At 46.5% G+C, this 17,316-nt stretch overlaps 3 annotated features.

Annotated features, from left to right (window-relative positions):
* Window positions 4,964-5,815: an enhancer, noted in NCBI's record as "H3K4me1 hESC enhancer chr5:2212387-2213238 (GRCh37/hg19 assembly coordinates)". NCBI's record gives its function as "activates a minimal SCP1, AML or CMV promoter by ChIP-STARR-seq in naive H9 embryonic stem cells {active_cell/tissue: H9 hESC(naive)}" and the evidence as "EXISTENCE:reporter gene assay evidence [ECO:0000049][PMID:30033119]".
* Window positions 9,822-13,745: an enhancer, noted in NCBI's record as "VISTA enhancer hs1327". NCBI's record gives its function as "enhancer in: neural tube[5/6] | hindbrain (rhombencephalon)[5/6] | midbrain (mesencephalon)[5/6] | forebrain[5/6]" and the evidence as "EXISTENCE:transgenic organism evidence [ECO:0001131][PMID:17130149]".
* Window positions 15,353-15,522: an enhancer, noted in NCBI's record as "experimental_83970 CRE fragment used in MPRA reporter constructs". NCBI's record gives its function as "activates a minimal promoter by MPRAs in K562 erythroleukemia cells, with activity observed for the non-introgressed 5:2202765 variant allele {active_cell/tissue: K562}" and the evidence as "EXISTENCE:reporter gene assay evidence [ECO:0000049][PMID:34662402]".

Genomic DNA, 17,316 nt, shown 5'->3' with positions numbered 1-17,316 from the left:
GACTTGGAAGGAAATGTCCTGGTGTTCTCTGACTGAGTCTTTGAGAGATACCAAGGCTCAGGGCCTGGCTTGTGTATTTAAGCTTTCTCTGTAACAGCTGCCTATGAAGGGTATTATTTGGGGTATTCTGGGATGAAATCTGTCTCTTTGAAATTGATATGTTAAAGACCTAACCCCTAGCACCTCAGAATGTGACTGTTTTGGGAAATAAGGTATTTAAAGAAGTGATTAAGTTTAAATTAGGTCTCTAAGGTGGGTCCTAACTGAATATGACTGGTGTCCACATTAGAACAGAGAATTAGGACGCAGACATACATGTAGGAGAGACGTGTGAAGGTTGAAAGAGAAGACGGCTGTCCCTAGTACAAGGAGAGAGGCTGGAACAGAGTCTCCCCACTGGTCCTCAGAAGGAACCAACCTTGGTGGTACCTAGACCTCAGATTCCCACCTCCACACTGTGAGCAATAAATTTCTGTTGTTTAAGCTGCCCAGACTTTGATATGGCAGCCCTAGCAAATGAATGCACAAAGTATCCGCACAAAGACCCCATAGAAAGGGCAAGGGTGACAAATGCAGCTGGCAACGTCTGAACAGCAATGGCTCTGCTGGGCCCCTTGCCAAGCAGGTGCTGAGGACCTCAGGTGGATCTCAGGATCTGCTCTGCATGGGCTACAAAGCCAGCTGTGGCCTCCATGTTGATTGCACATTTCTAGTTGGGAGGCCACGTGTTCTTGGAAAAATCACCAGTGCTTAGTACCATGGGGGTCCTGGACAGTGGTGTGATTGTGACTGCTCCCTGAAGAAACGAAAGTTCCAGGAAATATTGCCCCACTCCTTCTTGTGGAGACATATTGTTGGACACACCATTTTCCTGTGAAATTACAGAAGGAGATACACGTGCCATCCTCTGAAGGACACCTGAACCCACTCACCCCTCTCTACGTCCTAATTTCTCCTCCATGAAGGTCAAGAGTGTCTTTTCAGACCCAGCACTCTGGGCCAGGAAGAAACTGACCTCTACCACCGAGTAAGATATGCTGACCAGAGGCAGGTGAGCTAATGAGAACATGCACTGTCCACAGTGCTGGCTACAGGATGCAGGACTGACAGCCGATTGTGGCACAGGTGATGTTACTGAAAGTCAATAAAGCCATTCATCATGATGAGAATGATTTTCAATTTCCATGTCTCCATTCTTCCCCACTGAAATTTGAGGGTGATAATTTGTGTTGTGTAACCCTATCAATGGGATTTTTTTGTTGTTTGTTTGTTTAAAACTCAGTTTTTAGCCTACCTCACCTGCCTGCTCATGGAAACACTGGAGAACCCTTCCAAGGGGACAGAGGCAACTGAATCTTGGCCCAGCAGGGAAGGACCAGGATGGCACACAGGAGCTGGCTTCAGGCTCAAACTGTTCTGGTAGGAAAGCAGAGCTGGCCCCTGCCCACCTGTATGGCATTGGGTGATGTGTTAGCTTCCTCTGCCTCCGGGGGCTGCCACAGGGTTTCAGGGAATATCACATGGGAAGCACCTGGATGGAGGAGGCTCTCCAATGATGGTAGCCTTGGATCCATGGATGGTTTAGGTAGAGCAAGCATGGAGTTGATTTCTTACTGAATTGAACTGGGACTAAGTCATTCATTCCCTTAAGCAGATGAGAATGTCATATGCACGTACAGGCACACGTATGTACACACTCAGAATATACAGGGACGTTCACTAGACGAATCCATTGCACTGACCTTTTTTAGTGGAAGAATAGAACCAGCAATCTCAACTTATTGTTTCCCTCAGTGCTAAGTCTCAGGGCTCGGGGTTCCCTACATTTTATTAGCAGGACCCACAGCTGTCCTCTCGGCAAAACGTAAAATCAGCAGCGAAGGGGCTGTGGAAACTGAGCAGGCAATGAAGTGTCCACACAAATGCCTGCAAACCTCGTCCTCCAGTCAAAGCACGAGGGCATTGAACATCCAGCCTGGACTTCCAGGACACAAACGGGCCCCTGGCCATTTTAACACTCCCAGAAAACTGCAGAGAAGCGGGCATTGCTACCCTTGTATGTTAAGGTCAGTGCAGTCATTTAAAGTCACTGTGATAAAGAGACTATAACCAAAAACTACCGATTGTCCGATGCAAGGAGCGATTTTCCAGGGCTCATTTTTCCCATACCACGTACAGATCCCCTTCCATCTTTTTGCTGCTGTAATTTCAAATTTGGACACACACACCTCTCCAGCACATTTCAAGAACCAGACCATTTTTAAAATTAATTTTTAATAATGTGTAATAATCTGAGTGGCCCTGGTCTGTGTGCAGAATTAGAATTCCTCTGGTAGAAAAAGAAATATTTGTGCAGAGCCTTATGAGCAGAACTGGCCCGAGGCTTCCCAGGGCTGATTGAGAAACCGCAGCACCACGCTGCTTAACCCCTTCCCTGCCGCTTCCCACCTGCCCACCTCTGCCAACACAGGGAGTCACTTTGGCTTTATTACATAGACAAAGACTGAGGAGGAGAGGCTTGCTGATTGCAGAAGAAAGACTCTTTGAAATTGAACACGGGCTTTATTTAAAACTGCCTGAAGACCATGAGGCCACAGCTGAACACGTTTATGCCACCAGGCACGAAGCCTCAGGGTCCCCCACAACCATGAAAGGGAGCCCTGATCTGGACGCCCCATTGATGAGGCCAGGAGGAGACCTGGTAGCCGGTGGCGTCTTGCCTCCCCTTTGGCCTCCTGGGATTCACAGCAGGGCCTGACATCAGCAGCGGCATTCCTTCCTGGAGGTGGATAGATCACAGGTAGCAGAGAGCATCAGCAGCAGCCTGTGCTCCCCAAATAAAAAGCCTGGTGAGGTTGCCGACGTTCCCATGAGCGCCCATCAACCTGAAACCGAGCAGCAGCTGACTTGGGTGCATCTGAGTCTCTGCAAACTCTGCCGTGTGCGAGAGCATGTCTTGCCTGGTGTTGTGCTGACTGAGACTCTCCTGCCCTTGTCCGGCTGGTGATAATTACATCTATTCATGATTTCCAGTGAAGCCTGAGAACACTGTCTGTGGCTCAAAGAATGTTCTTCCCAAAACCAAGTTGAAAAGAAATTCATTTCCAGCCTCTGTTCCCCATGGGAAAAAATCAGACCTAAAACCAAAACTCTGAAATTCAAAAGAATGGAGTCGAAAGAGTGAAAGTAGCTGCTGAGCGAGACTTCTGTTTAGCTGTAAATCCAAGGCCCTTCAGAGCCGCAGCATCCGCGTGTGGCTGGAACGACTTCAATACGACAACCTCAGGGCGGGGTTTGGGTTATTAAAATGAACACAATTCTTAGTGAAAGTCTAAAACAAAAATCTGTCAGTGGCCTTTGAAAGTGTCTGTTGATTTTTCATCTGTGCTTTGGAGCAGATGATATGATTATTTTTGTAAACCAAAAACAGCATCAAGTGGTCCCACTGTATCTGAAGTTTGCCTCAAATAGTTTGCCTAAAATGCATCGTTCTATACCAGCAGCTACTCTTTGTCACAACTGGAAACAAAGCCCACATAACTGAGGGAACCGATGAGCGTTACCCTCTCTCCTGAAGGAGAGAGGGCACATGGCATCTTGCTGCACTTGTTCTGGGTGTGAGTGACAACACCCTCGCCAGCCTCTAGGCAGACCCAGGACAAGCACACTGAGGCGTTCTGAGGTAAGGTGGGTCTTCCCGTCAGAGTCTGTGAAGCCTCAGCGTGCTGGGTGGTTGCAGATGACACTGGTGTGTTCACCACCCATGAGAAGGAAGGAAGACCTGGCTGGCTGGGCCTCTGGCCCCTTCTTCACCTTGCAATCCATCGCCTTTTTATTTAATCTCTCTCTTATTATTCAAGTGTATGATTATTAACTAAGAAATGGGGAACTGATCTTCAAGGAGTAGGTAGCTCCACCTCCTCTGGGGTCTGATGTCTACACCACCTGATGCTTTTTCCAGCATTTTTCCTGTGTGCTGTGAGCTTGTGGGAGCCTCAGGGCCTCACCTCACTGTGACACTGAGTCGCTCTGCAGGGACTCTGCCCTCACCCAGTCCTTGGCGTCTTAAAGCCACACTATGTTCATAAAAGCCCCCAAGCCTGCCATACGAAACACAGCAAAACATCTGTGCTGAGGAACCCGCTTCCTAGTGAATTGAGCCACTTTGGAAAAGGATCGCGCAGCACCATCTGTTTGGAGAGAGACAGGGTGATGCTGGCGTTTCACGTCTCGTGCTTTAACTCAGCCACACAGCCCCCTTGCCATCCCCCCAAGACCCAGTGAGTTCTCATGCAAAATGTTTTCAATCTATATTGATCTCAAAGAATGGCAGCGAGAAAGCTGCCCTCACGGAGGCTGTGGCCCCCCAACCTGGGGGCCCTTAAAGACCCCCTCCCTCACTCATGCATCTCAGCTCCCAGTCCCCGACCCACCTGTGTGGTCTCACTTGCCTCACATTAGAAGCACCTGAGGAGGTGCTGCAGGTCCTTCCGGGGCAGCTGTCTTAGGTCAGCCTTTGCATTGAGACCGGCCCCTCCCCTTCCTGGTCCCAAAGTCTGCAGCAGAGTCTAGCCTGAGCCTGGGGAGGGGTGGGCAGCTCCAGGATATGGACCTGCCACCCGGGTGTTTTCGTGTAAGACACAAGAGCTATGGAATGCCCCCAGCGAGGAGGCTGGCTGGAAGGCCTACAATGCAGTCTGCAGGTGAGAACATACACCTGCTGAGACGGGACGTCACCATCCTGGAGCCCCTCCCTTACCCTGGGGAAACTGTGTCGGAGCAGCCTACCCCCCATGGTTTGGGACCCCCCAACTGCAGAGCTGCCTATGAGGACACAGTGGCACTACTGGACCATACCACAGTGCCCTGGCAGAAAACAGGTGGCATCCCACACGTGAGTTGGGGGCTTACTACATGGAGCCTGCTGCCAAGTTTGGGCAGGGCAGGAAACCACTTCAGATAGGAAAAGCCCCATCTGGAAGCCAGGCCTAGCAGGGATCCATGTCCACCCAGGGCTCGAGGGCCAGAGGAAGAGTCCTCAGCAGAGCAGGGAGGGCGTCCCTGCAGGAAGAGTCGGAGCGGCACACCTGGCCTCTCTCTGCCCACCCTCCAGCCCCTCTGCCTCCTCTCTGGGGGGCTGGACACCTGGCCTCTCTCTGCCCACCCTCCGGCCCCTCTGCCTCCTCGCTGGGGGCTGGACACCTGGCCTCTCTCTGCCCATCCTCCAGCCTCTCTGCCTCCTCTCTGGGGGGCTGGACACCTGGCCTCTCTCTGCCCATCCTCTGGCCTCTCTGCCTCCTCATGGGGGGGATGGACTCCAGGCCCCTCTCTGCCCACCCTCTGGCCTCTCTGCCTCCTCTCTGGGGGGCTGGGCACCTGGGCCCTCTCTGCACACCCTCCAGCCTCTCCACCTCCTCACTGGCTAGACCTGACCAGAAACCAGAGGACCAGAAGGGCGGTTGGAGCAGCCTCTTTAGGTACCTGGTGGACAAGGGGCAGCATGAAGAGGCAGAGGCCGCCCTGGACAGGTGGGTGACAAGAGCCAGTCCTGAGGAAGGCTTTCTCTCTCACGACCAGAGACAGACATTGAGCACCCATAACAATACCCATACAGGAACTATATCCATATAGGAATGATACTCCTACAGAAACTATATCCAAGTAGGACTGATATCCACCTCCTCACTGGGGGCCTTACCTGAACTAACAAGGCAGTTCAATGTGCTGACAGCAGTCTTTGAAAGTCTGTTTAAAGGCTTTATAATCATCCAAAGTATTTTTTAAGTGTGACCAACCCAAGGAAACGTAGTGTGAAGCAGGAAGAACCAGCCACATGTAAATAGCACTGCAACTCCACTGTGAGGAACCGGCAGTGACAATGGGCTCTCAGGAGACCTAAGTCCAGAGTTCTTTCCGTGAAACCTTCTGTGTGCCCACTGGAAATTATTTGTGCCTCAGTTTCATAAAACTCCACAGAAAAGAGCAGTCTCAATCCCTTTCTTAAAACAGTTCTTTAGTAACAAATATTATTTTATTGGAATGTGCTCGCTTTAAATCACTCGGCAAACATTAGCTACAGTTATAAAAGCCCTAACAGATTCGTTTGATAATACTGGAGTGAAGGGTTTTATCTCAAGGACATTTTTTGTTCCAAATTCTGAAACCGCATTATTTCAATAACAACATTAAGTTTTTGAGGCTGTACCGCTAGTCAGACATGTCTCTGGGAGCTCAAATGCCTAGAAGTGTCTAAAATGACTTTAACATAAAGAGATCACGATATAGACTAATAAAACTTAAAGTATAATTTTAAAAAAAAACCTGTTTGCCAAGCTTTCAACTTACAAATCTATAAAAGGTGAACAACAGCAATATCTTGTGACCTTAAAAATAAAATAATTTTCAGAGAGCTTTCATCACAATAAAATAAAGGTGTGAAAGCAAATTCTAATGTATATTTTACCCTATTACATAAAACAATTTCACAATTGTTAAATTATGAAATTTTAAAATAGAACTTAAATACTGTAACTTTTTAAAATTTTCTGTAACAAGCTTTATTATTTATAATGAGACAATCATTTTTCCTAAAAGTAAAAACTAAACATTTTTAAACATAAAAGTACAAGACTAACAAATAGATTCCACGGACTAATGACAGAGAGTTCCTTTCCTGTGTGACAGGGTTCCTGTATGGATACAGTTCCTGTATGGGTATAGTTCCTGTGTGGGTACAGTTCCTGTGTGGGTACAGTTCCTGTATGGATATAGTTCCTGTATGGATATAGTTCCTGTATGGATATAGTTCCTGCATGGATACAGTTCCTGTGTGGATATAGTTCCTGTGTGGGTATAGTTCCTGTGTGGATATAGTTCCTGTGTGGATATAGTTCCTGTATGGATATAGTTCCTGTATAGATATAGTTCCTGCATGGATATAGTTACTGTGTGGGTACCGTTCCTATATGGATATAGTTCCTACATGGGATCATTCCTATATCAATATAGTTCCTGTATGGGTATAATTCCTATATGGATATAGTTCCTGTATTGCAATCATTCCTATATGGATATAGTCCCTCTGTGGGTATCATTCCTATATGGATATAGTTCCTTTATGAGCATCGTTCCTATATGGATATAGTTCCTGTATGGATATCGTTCTTCTATAAATATAGCTCCTATATGGGTATCAGTCCTACTGGGATATAGTTCCTCTAGGGGTATCATTCCTATATGGATACATTCCTATATGGGTATTGTATCATTCCTATATGGATACAGTTCCTGTATGGGTATCGGTCCTATATGGATATAGTTCTCGTATGGGTATTGTTCCTCTGTAGATACAGTTCCTGTATGGGTCTCATTGCTATATGGATATAGTTCTTGTATGCATATCATTCCTACATAAATACAGTTTCTGTATGGATATTGTTCCTATATGGGTATAGTTCCTGTATGAGTATTGTTCTTGTATAGGGATATAGTTCCTGTGTGGGTATAGTTCCTGTATGGATATAGTTCCTGTATGGGTATCATCCTGTATGGATACAGTTCCTGTATGGGTAGCGTTCCTACATGAGTATAGTTCCTCTATGGGTATCATTGCTGTATGGATGTAGTTCCTATATGGGTATCATTCCTATATGGATATAGTTCCTATCTGGGTATCGTTTCTATATGGATATAGTTCCTGTATGGGTATCATCCTGTATAAATAGAGTTCTTCTAAGGGTATAGTTCCTGTATAGATACAATTTCTGTATAGGTATCATTCCTATATGGATACAGTTCCTGTATGGGTATCGTTGCTATATGGATAGTTTCTTTTATAGGTATCATTCCTATATAGATATAGTTTCTGTATGGGTATCATACCTATATGGACATAGTTCCTGTATGGGTATCGTTGCTATATGGACGTAGTGGCTGTATGGATATAGTTCCTGTATGGCTATTGTTCCTACATGGATACAGTTTCTGTATAAGTATCATTCCTATATGGATATAGTTTCTGTATAGGCATCATTCCTATATAAATATAGTTTCTGTATGGTTATCGTTGCTATATGGACATAGTGCCTGTATGGGTATCGTTCCTATGTGGATACAATTTTTGTATGGGTATCATTTGTATATGGGTACAGTTCCTTTATGGGTATCATTCCTATATGGATATAGTTTCTGTGTGGTTATCACTCCTATATGGATATAGTTCCTGTATGGGTATTGTTCCTATATGGATATAGTTCTTATATGTATATCGTTCCTGTATGGATATCGTTGTTATATGGATATAGTTCTTTATGGGTATCATTCCTATATGGATATAATTTCTGTAAGGGTATTATTCCTGTATGGGGATATAGTTCCCCTAAGGGTATAGTTCTGTGTAGATGTAATTCTTGTATGGGTATCATCCTGTATGGATATAGTTCCTGTATGGGTATTATCCCTATATAGATATAGTTCTTCTGTGGATATCATTCCTATATGTATATAGTTCCTGTATGGATATTGTTCCCATATCGATATAGTTCCTGTATAGGGATATACTTCCTGTATGGGTATCGTTCCTATATGGATATAGTTCCTGTATGGGTATCTTTCTTATATGGATATAGTTTCTCTATGGGTATTGTTCCTATATGGATATAGTTTATGCATGGGTATCATTCCTATATGGCTACAGTTCCTGTATGAATATCATTCCTATAAGGATATAGTTCCTCTATGGGTATTGTTCCTATATCGATATGGTTCCTGGACAGGTATCGTTCCTATATGAATATAGTTCCTATATGGATATAGATTTTGTATGGCTATCGTTTCTGTATGGGATATAGTTTCTCTAGGGGTATCGTTCCTGTATGGATACAGTTCCTGTATGGGTATTGTTCCTATATGAATATAGCTTCTGTTTGGGTATCATTCCTATATGGACATAGTTTCTGTATAGGTTTCATTCCTATATGGATACAGTTCTTGTATGGGTATCATTCCTATATGGATACAGTTCTTGTATGGGTATCATTCCTATATGGATACAGTTCCTGTATAGGTTTCATTCCTATATGGATACAGTTCTTGTATGGGTACCATTCCTATATGGACATAGTTCCTGTATAGGTTTCATTCCTATATGGATACAGTTCTTGTATGGGTATCGTTCCTATATGGATACAGTTCCTGTATAGGTTTCATTCCTATATGGATACAGTTCTTGTATGGGTATCGTTCCTATATGGATACAGTTCCTGTATAGGTTTCATTCCTATATGGATAGAGTTCTTGTATGGGTATCATTCCTATATGGATACAGTTCCTTTACAGATATTGTTCCTATATGTATATAGCTCCTGTGTTGGCATCATACCTATATGGATACAGTTCCTGTATGGGTATCATTCCTATATGGATATTGTTCCTGTATGAGTATCGTTTCTGTATGGATATAGTTCCTCTATGGGTATCTTTCCTATATGGTTATTGTTCCTATATGGCTGTATTTCTTAGATGGGTATCATTTCCATATGGACATAGTAGTTCCTATATGGATATATTTCCTATATGAGTATAGTTCCAACGTGGATATAGTAGTTCCTGTATGGACTTAGTTTCTGTATGAGTGCAGTTCCTTTTTATTGGTGTTGAATGTAACTTTACCAAGCAGGTAAAAATTTAAATACAATACCCAACAAATTTCCGTTTCTCTTTCCACTGACAGCATCGCTGCTGTCACTTTGTAGCTTTCCTGATCAGGAACTCCATGAGAGAATCCCTGATTCTCTGGCTCCTGGGGGCAGCCCACCCTCCCCTCTGCGTGAGAAAGAGCTGAAGCGGCCTTCCCGCTTGCCCCGTCCGGCGGGTTAGCAGACCTGGGATGCTGCCGGCCGGGGAGGACGGTGGCCGGATCCAGGACCCTGTGTGAAACAGGGACATCTGCTGGCTGGGCCGGGAGCAGGCCTTGCTGTCGGGTGTCATGCCAAGGATGAATTCAGAGTCCCCAGGCTGTTCTTAGGCTCTGAAAGGGAGTGGGGAGAGGAGCTTCACACACAGGTGCAGATGTCAATCCTGGAGCATGCACTTCTCCAGAGCTGTGCTGGGGCCTCCGGGCCTCCAGCCGCCCATCCACAGGGACCCAGGCTCTAGCAGCCCCAAGTTCACTCTGGAAAGAAGGGCCATGTCCAAAGACCCAAGTTACACCTCCTCCCCTGTGTGTGTGCACCTGTCACATTTAATCGGTGGACTGAGGATAAAGTAGAGGCGCTGGCCAGCGAAGTGTCTGTGGAACTGTTCTGTGACTGGAAAGCCGGCTTGGGTTCTTGCCTCTGCAGGAAAGGTGACCAGCAGCATGTGGTGGGCACAGCTGAGATCCGCCCTAGTTTTGCAGATGCCGCTCTCTTCCCTGGTCCTTCCTCACTCTACTTTGCGTGGTGTTTACTAGAGTGGAGCAGCGTGGCCTTCTCAACTGGCATGGCTGCTCTCAGACATAGTTCCGTGATCTCAACTGGTGTGGCTGCTCTCAGACGTCGCTCCGTGATTGTGAGCCACAATGGCAGCTGCAGAAGCAAAGGTGCTCAGGGACTGTGCTGGGGCTGGAAGACAGTCTCCCGTATCCCTTTGCTCACTTGCTTCTTTGTGACTTTGAGTGAGCTTTACTCTTAAGATGGTGCCAGCACAGGCGGTGAGGTGCAGACCCAGGAGCCACCGCTCTTCCCAAGCCTTGTGGGTCTCCACCAGCTGAGTCGCTGGTGCTCTCTGGGTGCCTAAGCCATATCTGTAAATGATGAGATGGGATTATGTACCTGCTCTCAGCTCTGGGGGCTTTTCACAGGGAACTTTGCAAGCCCGGTTCAGGTGCTCTCTCAGTGGAAGGTGTCCCAGAAGGGAGATGGTCGCTCTGCTCTCTGTAAGAAACTGAATCATATTTAGAGGCTCATCCTCATTTCCCCAATACAACACGCAGCTTCAGCCAAGGACTTCAGGCACCACGCAGAACTCCTGATCATCAGAGCGGACGCCCATCCATAAACAGGGTTCTTGCTGGTGTCCTCCATGACTTAACGTCTGCACCGGCTAGGCCCGACCTTTAAACACTGTGATGGTCGGGACCCAGGCCTCCGCCTCTTGGCAGGGTGAGGACGGGGCAGGGGCCGCAGGCTCAGGTCTAATTGTTGAAATGTGTTCTTGAACAATGGCTCCCAGGGAAAATTTAAAAAAAAAAAAAAAAAAAAAAAAAACCCACAGAGGTGCCGAGTTGTGAAAGAAGGCTGTTTGGGGCCTGGTTTCCTGAATAGACTTGTTAAATACCATGGCTGATGTATGCCGACGGAGGGAGGCCCGGCCAGCTGAGCGGCCCCTCTGACGGAGCAGGCCCGGCCTTCCAAGCTCCTTTGGAGGTAGGCGTGAAAGCCAAACTGCACTCTCCCCTATATTTTTTTTTCCGTTTCTGCCATGCAAAGATAATCAGGTTTATGTAAAGTCTGTGTGCTCTTTTGACAGCCCATGGTATCTCATTAATTCAATCACACCAAACACCATTGTTCCCAAAGTGTTTGAAATGCGGATAGGGACGGAGGCTTTTCTAATCCTGTCAATCATTGTTAACATTTTCTTGCAGTTGCCATGGCTGGGGCCGGAGTTCATGAAAACACAGAGTGAGACCCAACAAAACACGAATAAAGACTTATTTGAGATACTCTTTTTAAAGGCCATCTACCATGCACGGAACATGGGAAGTGAATGTAGACAAGTTTGGACACTATGCGCGCGGAGAGGAAAGAGCGTAAGGAAGAATTTGAAAATCAAATAGGCCTATAAAAACTTGACCCAAGAGTCTCTGGGAAAAACCCGCTGAATTGCTCCCTGGTAGAACAATGCTCTTTCTTTCGTGCGTTCTTCAGGGGGACAATGGCTCATATATTATAACACATGCCGCTGGGGTCTTTACACCGTTGTAAGCCAGCTCAGACCCACAGAATGCTGATCGCGGACAACAAGAGATTGCGCGCCGGTAATGCGCTCTTTTTCTGGCTGCACTAAAAACAAGCACTGGGAAAATTATTCATGCATAGAGGCCAACAAAGCCGAGATGGAGATTTGCGATGTCACACAGCGCGATCATGTGACACACTTAAAAAAAAGGACAACAGGCATTCGCCCTGAGACGTTGTTAAATTCCCATTTCATCTGCATGAATGTGCCCGCGGCCAAGTCGCCACGTACTTGTGGTGGCTGTGGCTGATCTGGGGACGCCACACGGATTAATGGGGCCGCAGTGTGTACAGGGGCAAAACCGGACGGCAGTGGCAGAATTTCCCAACTTCTGAGGTTCCTCAGGATGACTCTGAGGATTCCTCCAAGGCCTCCGTTCTCCTCTCGTTGGAGAACAGTCATGGCTGTGGACACGCAGCCGACTCTGGTGCTCGGCTCGGCAGAGACGACGGGGCCAGCACCAGGGGCTCCTCTGCTGGTCTCACGTTTCCATTTGGTGAAAAGGGGCACAGTTTTGGGAGGCATGTTGATTTCTAACTTGGTTTGCATTGCTCTTTTTATTGTTATCTCATTTTTCTTTCTTTCAGGGGTGCTAACAAGCCCCAAAGAAGGGCAGCCTCTTCTGACCAGCTGCTGGTGAAGCCCAGCGTGGCCTCTGCACATGCGTTACCTCCCATTGATGCCCCGGCACGGCGTCTCACCTCCCCTCCGTGCCCGGGCGCGGCGTCTCACCTCCCCTCCATGCCCTGGCGTGACATCTTACCTCCTCTCCATGCCCCAGAACCAGAGCAGTGCTCCAGGGTTCATGATTTAAGCTCAGCATCTTCTACTCAAAACGTCAAAGGAAACCCAACCCAGCCATTTCTCATCATCCCCATGGCCAAGGCCCCGTGATGGGCAGCGCCTCCCACACTTGCATGAGGCACCCTACTCCCCCGGCCTCCCTGCTCCATCCGGGCCTGGCCCGTACAGCCCATTCTCAACCCTTCCCAGTAAGTCAGGGCTCCTTCCTTGGGGCCCAAGACCTCCAGGGTCCTTGGATGGCTTAGGGTCAGAAACCGGGGTCCCGCCCAAGCCCCAGCCCCACCCCCACTTCCCTGGCATCACAGTCTACAGCCTCCCTCCCTCCTTCTACCCAGGCCCACAGGGTTGCCAGTCCCTGGGACATACTTCCCCAGATAACCCCCACCAGCCTCCCTCTCCTATGGTTCTCCGTGAGTCCGTGGTTCCTCTCGCTGCTTCCTGTCCTCTTTGGGCACGTGGCAGTCACACGGGAGTGTCCACTCCCTGGCACACTCGTGACCTGTTTCCGTCCTGGACAGGAAGCTCCAGGAGGGCTGAGCCTGTCCTTTCTGCTTCTTGACTCTTGCATTTGCAGCTCCTGGCTCTCGGTGGCAGCCCAGGGTATGTTCTGAGTGAAGGTGTTGGGAGTGCCTCCTGTAGGGATGGGAAGACAAGGAGGGCCTCCTACAGGGAGGGGAAGACATTCCTGAGGTCACTGTCCATCAGCCACGTTCTTGCGGAGGCCACTGTCCACCAGCCACGCAGGGCTGCTCCGAGTGAGTGGCCACTTCCCGAGGACCATGTGCCCTGGGTGCCTTGTAAGGGGCCATGCCTCGCTCAGGATTCCCACTGTGCCCACCTGCCCTGCCTTCTATTGCCTCGCGTTTGGTTGCCTTGATCTCATCAGATGCTGTATGTGTCTGTCAGTCTCCTCAAGTCCTGATTTGCAGCCAGGAAAGGTATAAATACATTTCTCAATAATTTGTGTTTGTGAATAAAAAAGTCATGGGCACATTTGGCTTAAGGACAACACAAATCTCAAAGTTAAAAAAAATACTATTTTTAAAATTACCAAAAAGAATCTGACCTCCTTGCTGTCTCTTTTTTTAAAAAATTGTCTTTTATGCTGGAATCTTGCTGTCCCTTAGCACCAAGAGCTTGTACATTCCTTCTTAGCTAGGAATCCATGTATCCCTTTCTTCATTATTACTTTCGTGGTGTCGTTTTCAGTGTCTAAGGACCTTTCTTCAACAGAGCTCACCTGCATCGTGTTTTTGTCTTTGAGCTTTGTCATTCTCACCATTTGGTTCTGAAAAGCCCCAGAATGGTGAGGAATCTCAGATGCAGCACAGGGCCTGCTGGGGTGGCCCTGCCCAGATGGCTCAGCCAAGGGCCCTTCAGAATCTAATCAAATGGCTGCAAGGAAAGACCATTAGATTGTTTGAATAAAACAAAACTATCAATAGTAAGAAATTAGTTAATGCTCTAGAATTCTGATTCATAGACACTGTCCCAGGAGTAATTCCTCCAACAGCAAAAATAAAGCAACAACACAAAATGTTTCACTAGAAATGGAGGGAGAGAGGATCAGAGAGGGCTGGGAAGGAAACAGAAGCAAGTCTGGGAGGTGGGGATAGGGAAAGAAAGAAACCTTCAGGAATAAGAATAATGACCTGGGGAAGATCATCTGGAAAGGGAACTAAGGAAAGGTGGCACAACCACATTCTGATTTTTTTTCTACTTCTCCCCAACCTCACTTCCAAATGTGCCTGAGGGTGCTGCTTTTGGAGGAGGCCCCTGCTCTCACACAGCCTCCGGGATGGCCTCTGTGAGCTTCACAATTGCCCACACATTTTCCCTTAGCCTTTTCCCTGTTGAAAAATTTTGAAAGGAAAGAATCCTCACTTAGCTAATTCAAGAATATTTTTACCGACTTCATCTTTCTTATCTTATTAAAGCTTACATAGCTCACTTTTTAATCAAATGGTATATTAGTTTAATAATAAAAGTTCCTATTCATTTTCACCCTCCAGCATGAACATACTGTCTTTTTTTAAGGACCTATATTTTCCCTTTATATTTTAATAGGGCTACTTATAATAGATTATCTCTCTGGACACATTGATAATTAATTACTTCCTTTGGTGCTAATGGCCTCTCACCCCTTCCCGGGCTTCTGGTTTACAGGTTCCGACAGCATACCCATCTTCCTGGTCATCCCCTCTCCTGCTGTAGAGGCTGTTTAGCCAACTCTCAATTTTCCATGACCATGAAAGGAAGGAAATGTTTCAATAATCCCAAACTATAGATGGGTTCAAATATTTGATATTTGGCCTTGTGATACATTTTAATATAAAACCACATTAAGATGTCAATGTATAATAATTTTGAAAGGGATTGTGCATAAGTTTTCATTTTTCTAGTGATGATAAACATTTTGACGTCATGTGTTGTGTGTTTTAGCACATTACATTTACTTTAAAGTCACTTCCATACCAATTCTCATCACTTTGCTCTCTATTAAACTGAGATTCTGTGAACACTTCAAGTTTAAGGCATTTGAAACTAAAATAAAATCATGAAACGAATATTAAAATATTCACCTCGCCTGCCCTGGGCACCCATCAGGGTGAACCCTGGCAGGTGGGAGAAGCAACCCCACAACAGCAGTCACTGCAGGAAAGCTACAGAGCAGGTGCACTGGAACACCCCTTCAAGAACTAGGACGTTCCCCTTCCTGGGTCCAAGTGTTCTCATTGTTCAATTCCCACCTATGAGCGAGAACATGTGGTGTTTGGATTTTTGTCCTTGCAATAGTTTGCTGAAAATGATGGTTTCCAGCTTCATCCATGTCCCTACAAAGGACATGAACTCATCATTTTTTATGGCTGCATAGTATTCCATGGTGTATATGTGCCACATTTTCTTAATCCAGTCTATCATTGTTGGACATTTGGGTTGGTTCCAAGTCTTTGCTATTGTGAATAGTGTGGGGTGGGGGGAGCGGGGAGGGATAGCATTAGGAGATATACCTAATGTAAATGACGAGTTAATGGGTGCAGCACACCAACATGGCACATGTTTACATATGTAACAAGCCTGCACGTTGTGCACATGTACCCTAATACTTAAAGTATAATAATAATTAAAAAAAGAACTAGGACGTTGCACCCCCAGCTCCACCCAGATCAGGCGTGGACCCTACGAGCTGGGCCATCCCTCCTAGCACATCGTTGTCTCCATGCACTTTCCCACTGAGAAGTCAGGCCACTCTGCACGCTCTGAGGCCCTTCCCGAATGGGCCAGAAAGCTGGAGCGAGGGACCAGGGTCAGGCTGAACACCTGACGGTGGAGAAAAGAAATGCCAACAGCTATGCTGATCCCATTTTTTATGCACAGGGAATATCCTTAGAGCATCTGTACTAGCCATTTTGCTTAAGTTGGAATCAAACAACTGATTATTTCAGAACAAACAGGCTAGCAAACATTGGTTTAAATTAATGCAAAATTTCCAGATTTGTTTTTGATTATAACCTCAAACATATGAAGAGAAAAAAACCAGAACGATGCCAACATAACAGGAACAAAACACTGCCAAGGAATGAGTCTTAAATTATGGAGAAAAATCTGCAAAAACCCAGCAGCTTTCGAGTCAAGACACCATTTATGACAAAAATCATCAGCTTCCATTCCAGATCCTGGAATTATTTCAGAACAAACAGGCTAGCAAACATTGGTTTAAGTTAATGCAAAATTTCCAGATTTGTTTTTAATTATAACCTCAAACATATGAACAGAAAAAAACCAGAATGATGCCAACATAACAGGAACAAAACACTGCCAAGGAATGAGTCTTAAATTATGGAGAAAAATCTGCAAAAGACCCGGCAGCTTTCGAGTCAAGACACTATTTATGACAAAAATCCTCAGCTTCCATTCCAGATCCTTCTCTATGCACTGATTCCTGTACTGCAAGGCAATTCCTCTGGGAAAAAGAAAATTAGGAGGCATGGTCCTAGAACAGTGCCTCCTGGCACCTGGGAGGGGCTTGATCCCGGACATGCCTCCTGCCAGGGTCACCTGTGAGCACTTCCCTCACCCACGTGATGAAGATGGAGCCCTGGGAGGCAGCACGATTCTACCTGGACTGTGCCAGGCTGGGACTCAACCTGGTATCTGAACTCAGGTCTTCTGTTTCCTCATGTTGCCAACCCCGCAAAATTCCAAGAAAACAGATCTGAAATGAATTGAAATATCACCTAAAAAAATTTTCCATGTGAGTTTGTGTACAGTCTAATTAAGAAACTTTAGGGGTAGTTTGAAAATGTAAAAGCAGGTTCTGGAGACCAGGAGCCAAACTGCCAAAAGCAGCTTAAAATGCATGCTTCACAGACGTCCAGTGGCCTGTGAAATGCTGCTGCAGTCGTGCATTTGCTGATGGGTGTCTCCTGGCAGGCAGGCAGCTGAAACCCAAGACAGCCAGGAGGAAGCAGACAGGCAGGTTTCTGGGCTGTTTGCTGGCACTCTTGACAT

This window comes from Homo sapiens, chromosome 5 (assembly GCF_000001405.40).
Source record: "Homo sapiens chromosome 5, GRCh38.p14 Primary Assembly".
NCBI classification, from domain to species: Eukaryota; Metazoa; Chordata; class Mammalia; order Primates; family Hominidae; genus Homo; species Homo sapiens.
This window is presented reverse-complemented; position numbering and strand designations above follow the sequence as displayed.